This window comes from Homo sapiens, chromosome 11 (assembly GCF_000001405.40).
Source record: "Homo sapiens chromosome 11, GRCh38.p14 Primary Assembly".
NCBI lineage: Eukaryota > Metazoa > Chordata > Mammalia > Primates > Hominidae > Homo > Homo sapiens.
The window spans coordinates 57,734,250-57,754,127 of record NC_000011.10 but is presented as its reverse complement, the minus strand read 5'-3'; the positions used below and the strand labels follow the sequence as shown (position 1 = coordinate 57,754,127).

General features: G+C 47.4%; 3 protein-coding genes and 1 long non-coding RNA gene across 20 annotated transcripts in view, besides 3 other annotated features; 1 reads left to right on the top strand and 3 right to left on the bottom strand.

Annotated features, from left to right (window-relative positions):
* Positions 1-19,878, bottom strand: part of TMX2-CTNND1 (TMX2-CTNND1 readthrough (NMD candidate)) — a 106,658-nt gene that overhangs the window by 65,053 nt on the left and 21,727 nt on the right. Inside the window, 1 exon segment of the long non-coding RNA NR_037646.1 lies at positions 16,460-16,520. This is a non-coding gene — a long non-coding RNA (TMX2-CTNND1 readthrough (NMD candidate)).
* BTBD18 (BTB domain containing 18) lies at positions 962-10,614 on the top strand. 3 transcript variants are annotated; one of them, XM_047427405.1, is made up of 4 exons: positions 1,404-1,482; positions 1,923-1,998; positions 2,892-3,063; positions 7,980-10,614. In XM_047427405.1, the coding sequence occupies exons 3-4, from the start codon at positions 2,940-2,942 to the stop codon at positions 9,992-9,994; spliced, it is 2,139 nt and encodes a 712-aa protein (XP_047283361.1). In that variant the 5' UTR covers positions 1,404-1,482; positions 1,923-1,998; positions 2,892-2,939; the 3' UTR covers positions 9,995-10,614. The 3 variants fall into 3 exon arrangements, with proteins under 3 accessions (XP_016873617.1, XP_047283361.1, NP_001138573.1); XM_017018128.2 differs by having other exon boundaries at positions 962-1,998; NM_001145101.3 differs by lacking the exons at positions 1,404-1,482; positions 1,923-1,998 and adding an exon at positions 2,309-2,587.
* SELENOH (selenoprotein H) lies at positions 10,578-12,637 on the bottom strand. Of its 2 annotated transcripts, none has more exons than NM_170746.4 (4): positions 12,411-12,637; positions 12,174-12,319; positions 11,881-12,011; positions 10,578-11,265 (listed from the first exon to the last, which is right to left on the bottom strand). In NM_170746.4, exons 1-3 carry the CDS (start codon positions 12,530-12,532, stop codon positions 11,911-11,913), a joined length of 369 nt encoding a protein of 122 aa, NP_734467.1. In that variant the 5' UTR covers positions 12,533-12,637; the 3' UTR covers positions 10,578-11,265; positions 11,881-11,910. The 2 variants fall into 2 exon arrangements, with proteins under 2 accessions (NP_734467.1, NP_001308264.1); NM_001321335.2 differs by having other exon boundaries at positions 11,901-12,011.
* Positions 12,126-12,295: an enhancer, noted in NCBI's record as "active region_4731". NCBI's record gives its function as "activates an Ori minimal core promoter by ATAC-STARR-seq in GM12878 lymphoblastoid cells {active_cell/tissue: GM12878}" and the evidence as "EXISTENCE:reporter gene assay evidence [ECO:0000049][PMID:35858748]".
* Positions 12,446-12,495: an enhancer, noted in NCBI's record as "active region_4730". NCBI's record gives its function as "activates an Ori minimal core promoter by ATAC-STARR-seq in GM12878 lymphoblastoid cells {active_cell/tissue: GM12878}" and the evidence as "EXISTENCE:reporter gene assay evidence [ECO:0000049][PMID:35858748]".
* Positions 12,816-12,935: an enhancer, noted in NCBI's record as "active region_4729". NCBI's record gives its function as "activates an Ori minimal core promoter by ATAC-STARR-seq in GM12878 lymphoblastoid cells {active_cell/tissue: GM12878}" and the evidence as "EXISTENCE:reporter gene assay evidence [ECO:0000049][PMID:35858748]".
* The window catches only part of TMX2 (thioredoxin related transmembrane protein 2), a 28,381-nt gene continuing 21,657 nt past the window's right edge, over positions 13,155-19,878 (bottom strand). For 2 of the 14 annotated variants that reach the window (NM_001347894.2, NM_001347896.2), the window contains exons 2-8: positions 16,460-16,520; positions 16,102-16,292; positions 15,698-15,774; positions 15,358-15,464; positions 15,089-15,154; positions 14,868-14,997; positions 13,155-14,029 (exon numbers count right to left, since the gene is read on the bottom strand). In NM_001347894.2, the coding sequence (NP_001334823.1) occupies positions 13,883-14,029; positions 14,868-14,997; positions 15,089-15,154; positions 15,358-15,464; positions 15,698-15,774; positions 16,102-16,183 (609 nt within the window). In that variant the 5' untranslated portion in view covers positions 16,184-16,292; positions 16,460-16,520 and the 3' untranslated portion in view covers positions 13,155-13,882. Of the gene's footprint in view, positions 14,030-14,867; positions 15,019-15,088; positions 15,155-15,357; positions 15,465-15,697; positions 15,775-16,101; positions 16,343-16,459; positions 16,521-19,878 lie in introns of all 14 variants that reach the window. The other 12 variants (NM_015959.4, NM_001347892.2, NM_001144012.3 and 9 more) reach the window with 10 other exon arrangements.

The following is a 19,878-nucleotide window of genomic DNA, read 5'->3' as shown; positions in this document are numbered from 1 at the left end:
TCCAGAGGTCGAGGCTGCAGTGAGCCGGGATCGCGTCACATCCTGGGCAACATTAATTACCTTTTTTTTTTTTTTCTGAGACTGAGTCTTGCTCTGTCACCCAGGCTGGAGTGCAGTGGCGTCATCTCGGCTCAGTGAAACCTCTGCCTCCCGGGTTCAAACGATTCTCCTGCCTCAGCCTCCCGAGTTGCTGGGATTACAGCACGCGCCACCAGGCCCGGCTAATTTTTTGTATTTTTGTAGAGACGGGGTTTCACCATGTTGGCCAGGCTGGTCTCTAACTCCTGACCTCGTGATCCGCCCCCCTCAGCCTCCCAAAGTCCTGGGATTACAAGCGTGAACCACCGCGCCAGGCCTAATTAACATTTTTTTAAAAAATCATCTCTGTAACGATAATGGAGACCGTTCGCGGGGGCGGGGGGGGGGATTTTCTGCAAAACCCCTGGGTCATTAGTTCTCCAAGATTTGGGGTTGGAGTGGAATCAGTGAAGAAACTGAATTCAGAAACTGCCCAAGGACCTTATTCCATAACATCTCTGGTCTTAGGAGATTTCTAAATTAGCCATATGGGGGACCCGGTGTTACCAGAGCCATCCAGAGACTTCCATCACGAAACATGGAGCGCTCCAGGCAGAGCCAAGGGCATCTACTGCCTCTTCAAAGGGAAGACGGACATGACCCTTAACCGCCTTGGCGCCTGCTCTACTACAGCATCCCTACCCTCTTTTTCGGTGTGTTTTCATCAAGTGCTGAGGCAGACGACGGCTTTCACAAGAATTCCTCCCTGACGGGCCCATCCCCCTGCCTCTTGCAGCCCAGCCATCTTCCCTCAGCCCTCAAGTCCCTCGAGACTTAGCCTCCCGCCCAAAGCGCTCCTCCTGTTCTGATTGGTTCTCCCGGGAGCCTTCGGCCAATGGGGATGACGTATGCCGGACGACGTAGGCCCGAGGACTCGGGAGGAGGAGGGGCGTAGGGCTCTGCGACGCGCAGCGCGCTAGGACGGTGGCACGAGGTGTGTGGCGCTGGCCGCGTGGCCTTACAACCCTCGCTATCACTACCACCCAGTGCATGTGGGTGCTGAAGCCCGCAGGGATACAAGGGCGCCAGGGGCTGCCTGCAAAGTCTATGCTGGCGGAGGTGGCCGTGACGGGAAGTCCTGACTTTGGGCCTCCCGGATCCCCACGGTCCATTCCCAGAAACCCTCGCGCCTAGGAGTCTTTCTTCAAAGGAGTTGGGCCAGGGCGCCCAAGCGTGCGGGCCACCCCGCTTTGCAGGGCTCTCCCTGAAGCCCTGCTTTCTCCGCCAACACCGATTCCCTTGCTTCTGGATGGGGAGGTGAAGCACTCAGCCGTTGGCCCACCTGCGCATCTTTGCTCAGCCTCCTGACTCAACGCTGAACATTGAGAGGAAGCAAGGCAGGCTGGACAGAGGACAAGCACAGAGAAGGCAACAGGAGCAAAGTCTACCGAAAAGCTATTTCAAGTTGGGTCTGGAGGCAAGGCCAGGCGATCGTGGATTGAGAAGCTTCCCCAGGGCCCTTGCAACAGCTGCCATCCTCCATCCACATCTCTCTCACTGGGATGGGAATTTTTTTTTTTTTTTTGAGACGGAGTCTCGCTCTGTCGCCCAGGCTGGAGTGCAGTGGCTCTATCTACAACCTCTGCCTCCCAGGTTCAAGCGATTCTCCCACCTCAGCCTCCTGAGTAGCTGAGATTACAGGCGCCTGCCACCATGCCCGGCTAATTTTCGTATTTTTGTAGAGACGGGGAGTCACCATGTTGGCCAGGCTGGTCTCAAACTCCTAACCTCAGGTGATCCACCCGCCTCGGCCTCCCAAAGTGCTGGGATTACAGGCGTGAGCCACCCCGCCCAGCCAAGCCCGCCTTCTCTTAATTTACCTTTTCATTCTTCTTTCCTGATAGTTTTGACGTGAACTGTTCGGACCCTCAGTGCTACCTGATAGAAAACTGCATTCCAGGAAAGGAACACAGCTGTGCAGTGAGTGGGGGGGTTTCGGAGCTAAAAAGCTGGACATAAGCCTGAAGTCAGAATACTCAGTTTGTTTTGGGAGGGGTAAAATGCTTTACTATCCTTGCTGCATTGTTAGCCTGGTAATTAACTATACAAACGTAAAGGCCAAATTCTTTGCCTACTACCAGGGTCAGTCAGGCTCGCTTTGGTCAAGTACACCCAGCCAAGGGTGGCAACGTCCTTGGTTCTGTGAGAGACCTTCCCGCAGAGTCAGAGGCTTCTCTTCTTTATTGTGCACCCTCTGCTGGTTAGTGTGATACAGTGAGCTCAGAGAAAAGGCGCATACGACTTACTAGAGATAATTTTATACCCAGTAATGTTTCCTTAAAAGTGTTAACTTGAAGATTATACCTGTGGAGCTGGGATGTGGTGCTCAGGAAGAATATAAGTAGTCAGCATTGTAGCAGTTGAGTCTCAGTGGTAATGGAAATGAGGAAGGTTGAAGGATAATAATAGTTACCATTTGGGGCTTGGTAGTTATTTTGTGCCAGGCACTCACTGTGCTAAGCAACTTTACCTTCACTGACTCATTTAATCTTTAAAACAACCCTACAAGGTAAGTACTATTATTCTATTTCATGGATAGGAAAGTGAGACTCAGAGAAGTTAGGTCACCTGTGTGAGATTATACAGCCAGGCTAATAAATAGAGCCAAGACCCAAACCTAGGCTTATCTCTGAGCTCCCACATGTAACCACTATGATAATTTTCTTTCTTGAGATATCCTTGGCACAATTTCTGGGCTGATGTTTCCTCAACTCATACTATTATCTCTCACTTTCAAAATTCCCCTGCCATTTCAAAGACAAAAAACAAATTAGATGTAACCATGCCTCTGAAATGTATTATCTCACCTACAGGAGTCTGATCTGTGAAAACCTAGAAGGTTTGTTAAGACTCTTGCCAACATGTGCTCTCCTGCCAGTCCCAAAATCCTATACAGGAACCCCCGGTTCCTCAGGTTAGCTTTTCTGCAGCTTCATCACCAGCAGCAGAGTGATGTGTTCTGTGATGTCCTTCTGCAGGCAGAAGGTAAGAGAGTGGTCGGAATTCAACTGAAAACTCACCATAGAATAAGATAAAATGAGTTCAGAGCCAGAGGGTAAAGGACAAAATCAGCAAAATATTACTGCCTATGACCACTGTAAACTATTTGGTAAAGGGCTGTTTGTTTCTAGGACAATTACTACTGTTTTCAAGAGTGAAATTGTGACTTTGCTTCTTTCTCTTAAATAATGAATCTAATTGTAAAGTTTTATAAGCAGATACATTCTATATAACATGGATAATATTCCAATGGGATGGTTGTGAAGATTAAGAGTTAATGTGGGTAAGCACTTAGAATAGTGCTTTTAATATACTAACCACAATATGTGTTAGATGATACTATTATGTTTTCTTTTTGAGAGTCTCACTCTCTTGCCCAGGCAGGAGTGTGGTGGCACAATCACAGCTACCTGCAACCTCCACCTCCTGGGTTCAAGTGATTCTCATGCCTTAGCTTTCTCAAGTAGCTGAGATTACAGGCATGCGCCACTACGCCCAGCTAACTTTTGTATTTTTAGTAGAGATGAGGTTTTGCCATGATGGCCAGGCTGGTCTCAAACTCCTGGCCTCAAGTGATCCACCCGCCTGGGCTTGCCAAAGTGCTGGGATTATAGGCGTGAGCCACCACGTCCGACCCTTTTCCCATTTTCTTTTTTGTTGTTGTTTTGTTTTTGAGACAGAGTCTCTCTCTGTCTCCCAGGCTGGAGTGCAATGGCACGGTCTCAGCTCACTGCAACCTCCACCTCCCGCGTTCAAGCGATTCTGCCGCCTCAGCCTCCCGAGTAGCTGGGACTACAGGTGCGTGCCACCACACCCGGAAAATTTTTTGTATTTTTAGTAGAGATGGGGTTTCACTATGTTGGCCAGACTGGTCTCGAACTCCTGACCTCATGATTCACCTGCCTCAGCCTCCCAAAGTGCTGGGATTACAGGCGTGAGCCACGTTGCCCGGCCTGCTTAATTTATTTAATCTTCAAATTGATGACTTTTGTTGTTTGTTGCTAGAACTAAAAATGTATAGGTTATTTCCACCCCTTCACTTCACACTGGAAATGTTAATTCAGCATAAAGTAGACCCTGATATATAATGTACAAGGCCCAAGATTAGGAGTCAGAGTTACTAAGTAGATCCTGATATATAAAGGCCCAAGAAATGGGCAGGTAACTTCATCTCTCTGGGGCTCAATGTCTTCATTTATAAAAAATAATTATGATAACCAATATTGTATACCACTCTACAGTTTGTGGATTACATACAGTATAGTGTCTCATTTGATTTTTTTTTTTTTTTTTTTTTTTTTTTTGAGATTCTTGCGCTGTCGCCCAGGCTGAAGTGCAATTGCGCGGTCTCAGCTCACTGCTGTCTCCGCCTTCTGGGTTCAAGCGATTCTCCTCCCTCAGTCTCCTGAGTAGCTGGGATTACAGGGATATGCCACCACACCTGGCTAATTTTTGTATTTTTTAGTAGAGACCGGGTTTCACCATGTTGGCCAGGCTGGTCTTGAACTCCTGACCTCAGGTGATCCACCTGCCTTGGCCTCTCAAAGTGCTGGGATTACAGGTGTGAGCCACACACCCGGCCATGTCTCATCTGATTCTAACAGTCTTGTAAGAGAAGCCTTAGCTATATGGTTCCAATTCTACATATGAATGAGTTGAGGACTACAGTTAAGTGATTTGCCTGCTGCTTCTCTTAGTAAGTGCAGAGTTGAGATTGACTATTTAATTCCAAATAAAGAAAAAAGTATCAGTTGCCTGTTGTATGCTAAACACTGCTACCGTGGTCATACAAAAGTTCCTCTTCTTAAGGAAATCTTATAAGGGGAAGACATTCAAAAATCCAGTGCATTCAAGTAACTGTGCAATATATTAAAAATATAATTGGGTAAGTCATAGGCAGACTTAGGAGGATAAAAAAGAAACATCCTTCACAGACTTGAGGAGACTGGGAGACAAGGGTTAGGGAACTTTTCTTGGAATAACCCCTTAGGTGAGATCTGAAAGACAAACAAGTGGGAGGAAGCAGGGATTTTTCCTGGCAGACAGCAGCACGTATACAGGTTCAGAGATGTGACCACGGGTTTGTTCGTTATTATTAGAGCAGACTATAAAACATGTATTGACCAGAGAGGAAAAGAGAAATTAGTAAACATGTGAGGTCTGAAGTGTCATACAAAGGAAGTAGGTATCTCAGGACACTGGGAGACATACTGAACAGTTTTACGCAGGAGGTTATAATCTAATACCTGCTTTAGAAACAACATTCAGCTTGTTGTTTAGAAACAACATTCAGCCATTATTGGTTACTGAGCCTAGATAGGCAGCTGTTTCATAATCCAGGAGAGAGGGGATGATGATGACCTGAATTAAGGCATTGAGAAGATAAAAATATGAGCTATTAAAGAGAGTTTACAAAAGTTGCTGAAGTGGTTAAGGGCATAGACTCTGTAGCCAGACTTTCTGGCTCAAATTCTTTTTTTTTTTTCTTTTTTTTCTTTTTAGAGACAAGGTCTCACTGTTTTGCCCAGGTTAGTCTCAAACTCTTGTGCTCAAGTGATCCTCCCGCCTCAGTCTCCCAAAGTGCTAGGATTACAGGTTTGAGCCACTGTGCCCGGCCTTGAATTCAAATCTTGTCCCTGCTACTTTGCAGTTGTAAGCATGTTACTTAACTATGCCTCAGTTTACTCATTTATAATAACAGTAGCTACTTTACAGAGTTACAGTGAAGATTAAATAAATTAATATTGGTAAAACACTTAGAACAATGCCTGATGGAACATAATGACTCAACAAATATTAGCTTTAAAAAAACCTGATACTTAATTAGAGGCTGGGCACAGTTGCTCATGCCTATAATCTCAGCACTTTGGGAGGCCAAGGAAGGAGGATCACTTGAGGCAAGGAGTTCAAGACCAGCCTAGGCAATGTACTGAGACCTTGTCTCTAAAAAATAAAAACAGCCGGGTGCAGTTGCAATCCCAGCACTTTGGGAGGCCAAGGCAGACAGATTGTTTTAGCCCAGGAGTTTGAGACCAGCCTAGGCAATATGGTAAAACCCTGTTTCTATTAAAAAATACAAACAATTAGCTGGCTGAGGTGGTATATGCTTGTAGTCCCAGCTACTCAAGAGGCTGAGGTAAGATAATCACCAGAGCCCGGGAGGTTGAGGTTGCAGTGAGCTATGATTGTGTCACTGTGCTCCAGCCTGGTTGGCAGAGCAAGACCCTGTCTCAAAAAAACAAAACAACCCTGGCCAGGCGTGGTGGCTCATGCCTGTAATCCCAGCACTTTTGGAGGCCGAGGCAGGTGGATCACCTGAGGTCAGGAGTTCAAGATCAGCCTGGCCAACATGGTGAAACCCTGTCTCTACTAAAAATACAAAAATTAGCCAGGCGCGGTGGCAGGCAACTGGGAGGCTGAGGCAGGAGAATCACTTGAACCCAGGAGGCGGAGGTTGCAGTAACCTGAGATCGCACCATTGCACTCCAGCCTGGGCCACAGAGTGAGACTCCGCCTCAAAAAACAAAAACAAAAACAAAAACAAAAAACCCTGATACTTAATTAGATGTGATGGGTAAAGGAGGGAAAATTAAAAATGACTTCTGGTTTTCAAGCTCAGGCAACTGGGTGAATATGATGCCTTACTTTGAAGTAGAAAATGAGAGAGGTTTTTTGGGGTGGGGAATAAGTTCATTTTCTGGAAAAGTTGCATTGAAGGTGCTTGTGAGGCATATATGTAGACATGCCAGCTGTGGTATGTTTACTCCCTCAGGAAAGAGATCTAGGCAGAGGTATGGATCTGGGAATCATCAGCAAGCCTTTTGTAATTAAAGCCATGGAAGAAACAAAGTGAGATTGCCTGGGAAGTACCCATTAAATGAGGTGGCTCAGAACAGACCACTGCCTGGTAGGCAGTGGGTAGAGCACAGCAGATCATCCACCTCCATAGCTCTTTCTGTTAGACCACAAGTTGCTTCTATAAAAGTTTTTGAACTCTTGTGTGAGTCAATAAAATTAAATTCAGCAAGAATGATGATCCTTTATTTTGTGTCAGGCACTGAATATATCTCAGTGAGAAAGACAGACGTGGTCCTTGTCCTCACAGAGTTACAGCCTAGTGAAGGAGATGGATAATTACAATACAGATAGCTAAGTGCCATGATAGCTACAGAGTACCTCTGCCCAGGAACACCTAACTCAGACTTGTGGTGGGGTGGAGGAAGGCTTTTTTTTTTTTTTTTTTTGGAGACAAGGTATAACTGTGTTCCCCAGGCTAGCCTCAAAGCCCTGGACTCAAGCAATTCTCCTGCTTCAGCCTACCTAACAGTTGGGATTTCAAGCATGTGGCACTGCACTCAGCCCCAGGAGGCTTTCTGAAGGAAGTGATGACAAAGGTAGATTTTGAGAATAAAGAAACAAGGTAGCGGGCTGGACACGGTGGCTCACGCCTGTAATCTCAGCACTCTGGGAGGCCGAGGCGGGTGGATCACCTGAGGTCAGGAGACCGGCCTGACCAACAAGGTGAAACCCCGTCTCTACTAAAAATACAAAAATTAGCCGGGTGTGGCAGCATGCGCCTGTAATCCCAGCTACTCGGGAGGCTAAGACAGGAGAATTGCTTGAACCCGGGAGGCAGAGGTTGCAGTGAGCTGAGATTGCACCACTGCACTCCAGCCTGGGCAACCAAGCGAGACTGTCTCAAAAAAAAAAAAAAAAAATAGCTAGGCAAAAGGTAATGGCAGAAGGTTCCAGGCAGGCAGAAGAATAATTTTTTTCTTTTACTTGAAGTCCCATGGAAGGAAAATAAAAGAAGGGGCAGTACATTTGGGTAGTAATGTCTATGCTTAGCCCATGAACATGCCAGTCTACCTGATAACAAAAGTATTTGGGTTTCCCTTCAGGTGAGGCAGTTCCAGCTCACTGCTGCATCCTGTCAGCTTGTAGCCCCTTCTTCACAGAGCGCCTGGAGCGGGAGAGGCCAGCTCAGGGTGGGAAGGTGGTGCTAGAGCTGGGTGGCCTGAAGATCAGCACACTTAGGAAGCTGGTGGACTTCTTGTATACCTCAGAAATGGAAGTATCTCAAGAAGAAGCCCAGGATGTGCTATCTGCTGCCCGTCAGCTCCGTGTGTCTGAGCTGGAATCCCTTCAGCTTGAGGGTGGAAAGTTGGTGAAGGCCCCACAGGGCCGAAGGCTGAACCGAGAGTGCTTACAACCAACAAGTGCTGCACCAATCTCTGCCAGAGTGGTGACACCCAGCCACCACCCTCACACCCCACTGCCCACTAATCAAACTCCTTGTCCTCTTGGGGCAATAAGATTGAAGTCCTTGGGGAAGGAAGAGGGGCCCCAGGAAAACAACCGACAGAATGCAGACAATTTGTCTGGCACTCTTCTGCTCAAGAGGAAGGCCAGAGCCTGCCCAACTCCACAAGAAAAAAACTCTTCACCATCAAGCCATAGTCAAGAGCCTAGAGAGAACAAGAATGACACTGCCCTTGATCCTACAGTGCTCTCCCCACCCAGCTTGTACCCCTCTGTGGACAAACACCTGTTGCCCAGAAAGATCAGGCTCAGTCGCTCAAAGCCATCTCCTGGTATCTGTACATCAAAGCCTTCCAGCATTTTAAGTGGATCTAGCTCAGTGCCTGCAACCCCTGGCCGGCGTCTTTGGCGGCAGAGGAGTGTAAATAAAGAAACACCAGAGGACAAGCCAAAACCAGGCAGAGCTAGTCCTCTGCAGAGCACCCCAAACCCATCTGGTCTGGGAAAGACAGGTGGGAGCAGGAAGCGGAGCCCTGAAGTCAGGGCACCTAACTCAGACTCTGCAGAGGAGGGGCAGGTTGGGAGAGTTAAACTTAGGAAGATTGTCAATGGGACTTGCTGGGAAGTGGTACAAGAGACTCCTCTCAAAAACACTCAAGATAGCCCCCAGATCCCAGATCCCGGAGGAGACTTCCAAGAGCCTTCAGGAACTCAGCCATTCTCCAGTAATGAGCAGGAAATGTCACCTACTAGAACAGAACTGTGTCAGGACTCCCCCATGTGCACTAAGCTACAAGACATTCTGGTCTCTGCTAGCCACTCCCCAGACCACCCAGTGGTGAAGTCAGAGTTTGAGTCCAGTCCAGAACTGGTAGAGAAGGAACCTATGTTGGCTATTGACTGCAGAGAACCCTATGCATTTGACACAGCTCTGCTGGAGCAGCCCTGTGAGGCTGAGGAGTACCGAATCACAAGTGCTGCTGCCACCAGTGAGCTGGAGGAGATCCTGGACTTCATGCTCTGTGGCTCAGACATTGAACCACCTATAGGGTCTCTGGAGAGTCCAGGGGCTGAGGGCTGCAGAACGCCTACCTACCATCTGACAGAAACAGGAAAGAACTGGATTGAAGGGGAAGAATGGTGTCTACCAGACATGGAACTCTGGCCCAGGGAGCTCACAGAATTGGAAAAGGAACCTGCTGGTGAGAACAGAGGGCCAACTGAGCTCCTTAGCCCCCTTGTCATGCCCTCTGAGGTGAGTGAAGTGCTTTCAGTAGGAGGCCGTTGGACACCAGACCTTGAAATTACCAGCTCCCAGCCACTGGATGGTCAGGAAGACAAACTTCTCCATGTCAGCTCCCTTGATACTCCCCAGAGGTCTTATGGGGACCTCTCACCTCCCTGCTCAAACTGGGTGGAGACTGGGCTGGAAGTCTCCTTGACTACAGATGAGTTATTATACCCTTCTCCCAAGGCAGGCAAGGAGGTATCTGGTCACTCTGAACTACTAGGCTCACTTCCTGCCAGCTCTGAAGAGGAAGAGATTGATGTGGTGGACTGGACAGCAGAGGGGAGGCTGGTACCCACTACTGTTCCCTCCGTGTGGCCTGACCCTTCCTCAGAGTCAGAAACAGAGGTAGATATACTAACATAGTGGAGAGGGGAGGGCAGGTTAGGGGCCTTGGGAGGGTGGGAAATGTTAGCTAGCAAAAGGCTTACTGGCAGAGAAGCTGGCACGTGCCCTCAGCACAAGAGGCAGGTGTACCCTGGCTCTTTGTAGGTCCCTTCCTCCCTTCCCTAAGCCTCAGAAGCCAGGCAGAAGCCAAGGGTACCATAGATAGAAAATTATGAACTTGTACCATCTTATTTGTAATCTATTTTCCGGTTAGTGACAACTGAAACAAACTGTGTGCTCCCCAATTCTGGTGGGTCATAGGTAACAGCCAAGGCCAGATCTCTCAGGTCATAAGGCATCCAGTCACTGGTAATTTAGGAAAAGCTGAGAAAGAACACCCTCCTCTGTGGTGGGGTATTGTTTAAGAAAATGTTCCAGAGGAAGGTGTGAAGCAGTGTTGGGTGGAATACTAAGTGGGTGGGAGTGATGGATGCTGTCCAGCACCCAACGTGGGGCTTATTCACTGCCAGTATTAGGAAGTCTAGCTAAAACCTCTGCAGGGGCCAAGAAGATGTACTTCCATCATTACTTCCAAAAAGTAAGTTGAAAAAGATACAGTTGCTTTTTTAAAAAATAAATTATTTACTTTGCTCCCATAATTTTTACAAGTATTTCTCATGTTTTACCAGAGATCATAAAAGTTGCAGGTCAGGCCAGGTGCGGTGGCTCATCATGCCTGTAACCCCAGCACTTTGGGAGGTCAAGGCAGGCATATCACTTGAGGTCAGGAGTTTGAGACCAGCCTGGCCAACATGGTGAAACCCCGCCTTTACTAAAAATAAAAATAAAAAAATTAGCCAGGCGTGGTGGTGTGCACCTGTGATCCCAGCTACTCAGGAGACTGAGGCAGGAGTATCGCTTGAACCTGGGAGACAATGGTTGCAGTGAGCCGAGATAGCACCACTATACTCCAGCATGGGTGACAAAGTGAGACTCTGGCTCTTAAAAAAAAATTTTTTTTTAAAAGTTCCAGGTCACATGGCTATCTTGGGCTATGAAAAACACAAGGACTACCAACTCCACAAGGCTGGCTTTGTCCATCCCTTAAGATTAAGTTTTACTCTATTACTCAAATACTTTATTTCAACTTTTATTAAACCAAATCCAGTAACTTTTACAATGCCTTACTAGAGGGTTGCCTCATAACTGAACCTTCATTTCTGGCAGGGAAGAAACCATGGCTTCAGGATCATGACTGAAGTTTGGCCATGTTCCATCATTAATGTTCCAACATCACCAGGGACACAAAGCTGCAAAAATGAGAAGGGAAATAAGGTTAGAGAAAGGATCTGGGCAATCTTAAGGACTGAGGAAGACATGTTCCCCAACCCTTGAACTCACAAACCCTGAAGCTCAAGGATTGCATCCTTCCTCCAAATCTCACTCAACATAATAAGTGCAGAACAACATGCCAAAGCACTGTATGAAGCACTAGGGACAAAGACAAGGTCAAAATCCTTGTAACCAAATTTAATGGTATTGTAATGCAGTGTTAACACAGGACAGTAACAGAACACCCAAGAACCAAACAGAAGAGGGTAGGGATAAGCATAAATGAAGTAACATGAAATAAACTTCCAAATGGAAAACTTGTCCATACCCCCAGGGCAAGTCAACTACAGTCTCCCAAAGGACATAAATTCCACTTAGGGCACACTAGACAGAAAACAATATTGTGTCTTTTTTTTGTTTTTTGTTTTCAAATAGGGTCTCCCTGTGTTGGCCATCCACTCCTGCCTCGACCTCCCAGAGTGCTGGGATTGCAGGCGTGAGCTACCCACGCCAGGTGGGTACTTGTAGCCACACCAAGATCAATGCCTTCTCTTCCTCAACAGCGGTCGCGCCCCCCACTTCCCATTTCAAACCTCAGCATGAGGGCTTCTACCCAAATCTCCCTACGACAGGTACTTCTTCAACTCTTCCACCACCTCTTGAGGCTCAGGGAATTTGAGTTTGCGTGGGGGCCCCTTCTTAATCCCAGTCCAGAGCTCCGCACCTGAAAGGCCAGAATGAAGCGAAGTTACAATACTTCGGAACCCACGAGCACGTCTCTGAAGTCATGAGACTGCCGTGGTTTCTAAGAATAGCGCTTCCTGTCTTCGGAACCCACGTCCCTTTCACCCACGTCCCTCTCCCCCACATCCAGGTCCCCACTTACTGCTGCCGTCCGGGCGCAGCAGCGTCACCTCGAAGCTGCCCCTCCGGGGCTTCGTCGGGTTCACCTTTACTGGAAGCTCTGGGGCCTCCAGGCGCAGCGCCTGGCTCAGGGCCGCGGCGTTGCGCCCATAGACGCGTCAGCTAGTGCTAGGGAGAGACGGAGAGGTTAGAAACCGGGGCCCCTGGCCCCCCCCGGCGCCACTGTTCCCTCTCTCCCGTTACTCTCCAGGCCCCTCACCAATGCTCGATAACAACGGTCGCCTCCTCCATTCCCTCCCCGCCGTTCGCCAGCTTCTCTCGCTTCTCGGCTACGGCGACCACCGCGGCCTCAGCCTTACGCTTCCTCCCGCGGGGAGCCATGGCGCCTAGAGCCCGGCCGAGAATGCAGCGGGACTGGTGGGTGGGGGGCGGAGACGCGACCACTGAGCGGAAACTGGGCAACGAAGAGCGCAGCCCGGAAGCTCTGCTCCTACAGCGGAAACCTCTCTCAAAGGAAGGGAAAGCTTGGCCCGCAGCACCCACGTGGCCTGGAGGCGGACCTTGGGGCACAACCACTTTGCAAGCAGGGAGCGGGAAGGTGCGGGAAGCGCCTGACGGAACCACCCATCGCTTCGGGTGGAGGGGACAGGGGACGCTGGGATGGTGAACACAGCAGGAAGGGGCGGAGACTAGGTCCGACTGCTAGCCTCGCTTCGCGCAATCTTTTCTGTACCTTTGCATGGCGCTAAATGTTGTGTGCCACCATCTGCCGCCAAACTCTCCTCCCTGGCAACCGCAGGCCAATCCCAGAGTAAACCCACCACCTAACAACATGTGGCCGCTATTCTAGATTTATGGAAACTAGACTTCTCCAACTCTTGCCAGTCCTGGGGATCAATGCCCGGCATTTGGTGAAACCAAATAGGATGGCCTTTGCCCTTAAGATGGGCAATTCCTCTGCAGTTGTCAGGCTTTTCTAATACAGAAACACACAAACGCGCAATCAAAAGGAAATCCCAATCTTTTTATTACGGAAAGCCATCAACTGGGTGTGGGGAGTATGTCAGAGGGTTAGTGAAAGTCCAGGGGATTTCTCCTCCAAGTCCTACCACACAAAGGAAAGTCTCAAGCCTCTATTCACCCCTTCTCAATCCCCACAAAATAGGGGGTTGTTCAATATTGTCTTCAATGATAAAAACTTTGTGGTTAAAGGTTTCTCCTTAGGACTAGCGACAAAGTTAGGCTTATACTTTTAATGAAGACCATAAACGAAGCCAGAAGGGCTTAAGGAAGCAAGAGTCCTTGGGGGAAAATTCTTAGCGTTCTATACCCCAGCATCTTACCTTAGGGTTAAATCTAGGTCTAACCAAGCTGTGCAGGTCAACTAAGAAGGAATGATGAAACCACAGAGTTTCATGGAGAAACCATGGAGATGTCTGAATAGCTGATAAGCAGTTAACACACTGACCCAAGCTTGGAGGGAAACCATTTCCCCCTCCGTCCTATGAGATCTCTTTCTTGCTCCAGTGAAACAGTTGGCCACAGCATGGCAGGCCTTCCTGTAGGGTGCCTGACAATTCCCTAGATGCCTCTTTAAAATCAGAAGCTGCATGCTGCCCCACCCAGTCACAGCCAAAGGGAAAACATAAATAAAAGGCTGCAGCCTCAGGCTTGTGGTTATGGAAAGAGCCTGGAATTGACAGGAGAGGAAGCACTGCCAAAGTGAGGATCTTATTTATCCTTCTTGTTTTCCCCATCTGACACTGTGGTGGGGGTTGAAGCCACAGGCTGCTCCTCAGGGATATTGTCTCCAGCCTTTGATAGTTTCTTGGCCCGCTGGTATAGCTCATTTAAGTTAAATTCTCGGATCACATTCTCCTGCACAAAAGAGATGCACACGTCAGGATCTGGGTTGGAAGGGAGAGTAAAGAGCCTGGGAAGTAAGAGGTATTTTACACAAAGTCTGGGAAAGGAAGGAGTAAGCAAAGGACAAAAATCTTCCCTAACCTTCCTCTTTTTTAGGTACCCAGAAAAGTCAACTAATAGTTAAATACCCATTATGTGCCAATCACCGTGCCAAGAATTATACCTAAATTATTTAATGTAATCTGCAAAACAACCCTGTAAGCCAGGGGTTATTACCTCCAATTAACTGACAGGGAACCTAACACCTACAGACAATAGGTGCAGTGGCCTTCGAGACAGAATCTTTTTTTTTTTTTCCTGATGGAGTCTCTTGTTGCCCAGGCTGGACCGCAATGGTGCAATCTCAGCTCACTGCAACCTCCACCTCCCGGGTTCAAGCGATTCTCCTGCCTCAGCCTCCCAAATAGCTGGCATTATAGGCATGCGCCACCACACTCGGCTATTTTTGTATTTTTAGTAGACACGGGGTTTCTCCATGTTGGTCAGGCTGGTCTCAAACTCCTGACCTCAGGTGATCTGCCAGCCTCGGCCTCCCAAAGTGCTGGGATTACAGGCGTGAGCCACCGTGCCTGGCCTGAGACCAAATCTTAACTAATGATTGTTACCCAGTACTAGCAGGTCTGCACATAATATATATTTGCTAAATGAATTAAAACATGAGGTCTAGTAACTAGTCCACACCCTCAAAGCTAATGGGCAAGTGGCAGAGCTGTGAATCAAACCCGGGTAGGGCTTGAAAGCCCACCTACTGTTCTGCACCCTTCATGCACCTGCCCTTCCTTTCAGGTACCTCAGAGAAGGTCCATGAGACAGCCCGTCCTTTCTTGTCAATCTGTGGCCGCCGCATTGCCTCCTTGCCACCTTGGAACAGGATCAGGGTAGGGAGTTGCTTGGTGAGGGGTGATGTGCTCACTTTGTACCTGCAGGGCCCAGAAAGTTCTCTAAATGTCCCTGTATGTATCACTCAAAGTGATTTCCCTGCTCAGACCCTCTGCCCAGGTCTTTACATACCGCGTACTAACATCAGTATAGCGTCCAACATCCACCTTCCCAAAATTTAGCCCTGTACAGTTGTATCTGAAAAGAATATATTATTTAATATGCTGAAAAAAAATAATGGATCAAGGAAAGTGGAAGTATAGATATTTAAGAGGGGAGAGGGAGATGCCTTTGGTTACCATGTGTGAAAATCAAGGCCAAAAGAAAAAGAAAAGCCAAAAACAGTGAGAGGGAAGGCACAGCATCTCCATTTCCACCATCCCTCCCTTTGCACTACTCACTTAAGGGAGAGGTCAGCATAGATAGGGGCAAATGATTGGCAGTCATTAGACCAATTGGCAAAGAACTCCACAATCCAAGTGACCCTCTTGTCCCGTTCTAGTTCCTCCTGCCAAATACAGGGAAGAAAAGTCAGCTGGATCCACATAGCCTCCTGGGAAGGTTCAGACTTTAGCATCTAATTCCTCATCCTGGTGTTCCCTCTCCCCCGGCTCTCATAATGAACCACAGTGCCCGTGACATCCATTTTGAAGCACTGTTGTTCCTCCTAGTGAATGGAGAGCACAACTACAAAATCACCCACAAGGGACCCAAGAAACAGAAAGGGGAAAGAGCACTCACATCAATGGTTTTATCATTGAAGTACTTGATATACTCAGGGCCCATATATAGGGGGGGTTTGCACGTCATCAGGAACACTAAATACAGAAAGAAGATGTCGAAGGAAACATAAAAAGCCTTACACAGGGAATTTACTTCCAAACCAACCCAAGGATTTCAGCCCCCAAATAATACACACTTGTGGATATATGTAGACCACCAACACATTCCCTACCTCTACAATAACAGTCTCTGTAAACTGTTATCATCTGAGCTACATATATAATTCATTAGGTATGAGATATGGAAGAAGGGTATGGAGAAACATGTTTGGGATTGCAACTGTTGGGACTGTGGTTTCCACAATCAAGTCTATCAACACAGTCTTACAAAAAAAAAAAAAGAAAGAAAGGCAGTCTCCTCACCTATGCAGAGTGTGATGTAAAGTAGGCCCATGCGAATATCCAAGCGGAAGAAAAGAATTGTGTTGGCCACTTTACTAAACATGAAAATGTTGCCTATATGTTGCTCCACAGTGACTGAAACACAGAGATGTCACAGGTCAGGCTGGGCTGTGCACTCCTATATCCCATTCTTTGTCCCTCTTCATGGGGCACTTTGAAATAGGAGACAGGGAGGGGATAGAAGTCCAAGTTCAAATTCAGCCTTGGAATTAAACGTAGGACAAATTTACCAAATGATTGCCACTCTCTTAACATGAAGCAAAGCACCTCCAAAGGGCATTAGATCTAACCTTGAGTCTGAGAAGTGAACTAAACTTACTGGATCTGCGGTTCTTCATCATCACAATGGCACTGAGAAACATCAGGATCTCCACTTCTCTCTGGAACAGAATCGAAGTATTATAACAGGAATGCAGTGACTAGAGCTAACTTAGGTGGGAAAGGGAACTAAATATGTAATAAAAACCAATAGCGATCCAAACTGGGAATGGGAACAATAAAGAACTGCAGTTAGGTAAGGTGTACGGGGATAAACATCAGTCAGAAGACCTGGATTCAGGTTCTACTCCTGCCACAAACTTGCTGGTGCTTTTCTTTTTGAGACAGAGTTTCACTCTTGTTGCCCAGGCTAGAGTGCAATGGCGCGATCTCGGCTCACTGCAACCTCCGCCTCCCAGGTAGCTGGGATTGCAGACATGCGCCACCACACCCGGCTAATTTTTTTATTTTTAGTAGAGACAGGGTTTCACCATGTTGGCCAGGCTGGTCTCAAACTCCTGACCTCAGGTGATCCACCAAAGTGCTGAGATTACAGGCACGAGCCACCGCGCCAGGCCTGCGGTGCTTTTCAACAAAGCACTTAATCCCTTAGCTTTGGTTTCCTCAACTGAACAGTATCTATTTCAAAATGCTACTGGGGGATTAAATGAGATAACAGATTAAAAAGAGTTGTATAAAGCATGATATGGTATAAAATCGTAAGATTATTAATATCAACTCAATGTGACGCTGGTAGAATAAAACTTTTCCAGGTAAGTTTTCTTGATAATAGCCCATTAATATAATATCTAGCTATTCCACATGTTTAATTTTTTTTTTTTTTTTGAGACAGTCTTGCTCCATCGCCCAGGCTAGAGTGCAATGGTGTGATCTCAGCTCACTGAAACCTCTGCCACCTGGGCTTGTGTTTCTCCTGACTCAACCTCCCAAGTAGCTGGGACTACAGGCGCACACTACTGTACCTGGCTAATTTTTGTATTTTTTGTAGAGACCGGGTCTCCCCATGTTGCCCGGGCTGGTATGGAACTCCTCAGCTCAGATGATCCGCCCGCCTCGGCCTCCTAAAGTGCTGGGATTACAGGTGTGAGCCACCGAGCCCGGCCCCCATTACTTAATCATTCCTCCCCACCCAATATGCATCGTGATAATCCATGTACTTTTGATATAATTTGAGAGCTGAAAGGGGCTTTCAGAGCTCTCAAAAAGCCCTTTTCAATACTCGTCTTACAGTTTTCTCACCTTCTAGAACAACCTTCTTGTCCAACCTGTGGCTCACATGCAGCCCAGGATGGCTTTGAATGGGGTCCAACACAAATTCATAGACTTTCTTAAAACATTATGAGACATTTTTGATTTTTTTTTTTTTTTAGCTCATCAGCTATCATTAGGTGTTAGTGTATTTTATGTGTGCCCCAAGACAATTCTTCCAATGTGGCCCAGGGAAGCCAAAAGATTAGATAACCCTGTTGTAGAATGTAACCACCAAGTGAGCAAGTGAGACAGACAATAAACATGACAAAGACACTGAGAAGTAATAGAATTCTAAGCCCTGAAGTGACTGAACAGACTCCTTCTTGACTAAGGGGACCCCAGAGAAACCTTGAAAACTGAGTTCTCGGCCATAACAGGGTGTGAGGTCAGACACATCTCTTTATACCCCCTCCTTCACTTACCAACATTAGGCTTTCTTAAACAGAAAGTTAAACAGAAACCAGCCCTCTGAAAAGACTTGCTCCACCTGACATCAACCAACTGCCTGACACTGCCCCTCCCTTTTGCAGTTAGGACAAAACAACTAACCAGCATTGCTTCCTGATAAGAGACCAGTGACCATGCAGTGGATCTGGCCAGGCTAAGGAGAATGCATAGTTTCTGTGTCCTCTGCTTCACCTTTTGACTTGAGAGGGCTGAAAACTCCACCTCAGATCATGGTTAACATTGCCACTTTTGAACATGGGTCTTATGGACAGATATGAAGCTCAACTGAGCATGCACGTGTTTCTCCTTTCATAAATATTCATGACTCTGCCGATAGCTTATTAAATATGTATATTTGGCCACCCTGCTTAGCATAAACTCCTGTTTCCTTTACCCCTCACTCCAAGTGTCTGTTTTTAGCTTCTGAGCGGAGGCTATGCTTCCCTGCCTGACAGGATAGCCAGCAGGTTGCAACTTTTTATGAGAAATAAAGCTCTCCTGGCCGGGTGCTGTGGCTCAAGCCTGTAATCCCAGCACTTTGGGAGGCTAAAGTGGGTGGATCACCTGAGATTAGAAGTTCAAGACCAGCCTGGTCAACATGGCAAAACCCCGTCTCTACTAAAAATACAAAAAAATTAGCCAGGCACGGTGGCATACGCCTGTAATCAAAGCTACTCAGGAGGCTGAGGCAGAAGAATCGCTTGAACCCGGGAGGCGGAGGTTGCAGTGAGCCGAGATCGTGCCACTGCACTCCAGCCTGGGCAACAGAGTGAAACAACGTCTCAAAAAAAAAAGAAAAGAAAATAGGGGTGAGGGAGCATGACAGACTTTGTAAATATTATACCTGAGGCAGAAATTAGGAAAGATTTTTTCTTTTTTTTGAGACGGACTCTTGCTCTGTTGTCCAGGCTGGAATGCAGGGGCATGATCTCGGCTCATTGCAACCTCCGCCTCCCAGGTTCAACCGATTCTCCTGCCTCAGCCTCCCGAGTAGCTGGGACTACAGGTGCCCACCACCACGCCCGGCTTTTGTATTTTTAGTAGAGATGGGGTTTCACCACGTTGGCCAGGATGGTCTTGATCTCTTGGCCTTGTGATCTGCCCGCCTCGGCCTCCCAAAGTGCTGGGATTACAGGCATGAGCCACCCTGCCCTGCCAGGAAAGATTTTCATGAATGAAACTAGGTGGGTTAGAATTGGGAATGAAAGTTGTGGAAAGATTAATTTTATTTATTTTTATTTTTTATTTTTTATTTTTTTTGAGATGGAGGAGTCTTGCTCTGTCGCCCAGGCTGGAGTGCAATGCCACAACCTCAGCTCAGTGCAACCTTTGCCTCCTGGATTCAAGCAATTCTCCTGCCTCAGCCTCCGGAGTAGCTGGGATTACAGGCACCTGCCCCCACGCCCGGTGAACTTTTGTATTTTTAGTAGAGATGGGGTTTCACCATGTTGGCCAGGCTGGTCTTGAACTCCTGGCCTCAAGTGATCCACCTGCTTCGGCCTCCCAAAGTGCTGAGATTATAGGCGTGAGCCACTGTGCCTGGCTGAAAGATGAATTTTAAAAGAGAGTTGTAGTTAACCAGGGGACCAAAGGTAGGACCAAAAGAAATTCTCTAAGGACAGAAAATGGTCTATGGAGGGACTAGCTATTGCTACTGCAAACTTCATTTATTTTCTTCCCAGGCATACTGCAGCTAGACTCTCTCCCTATCTCTTTGCATCCAGGTAGAACTGTGTGACTGTTACTTGAGAATGGAATGTG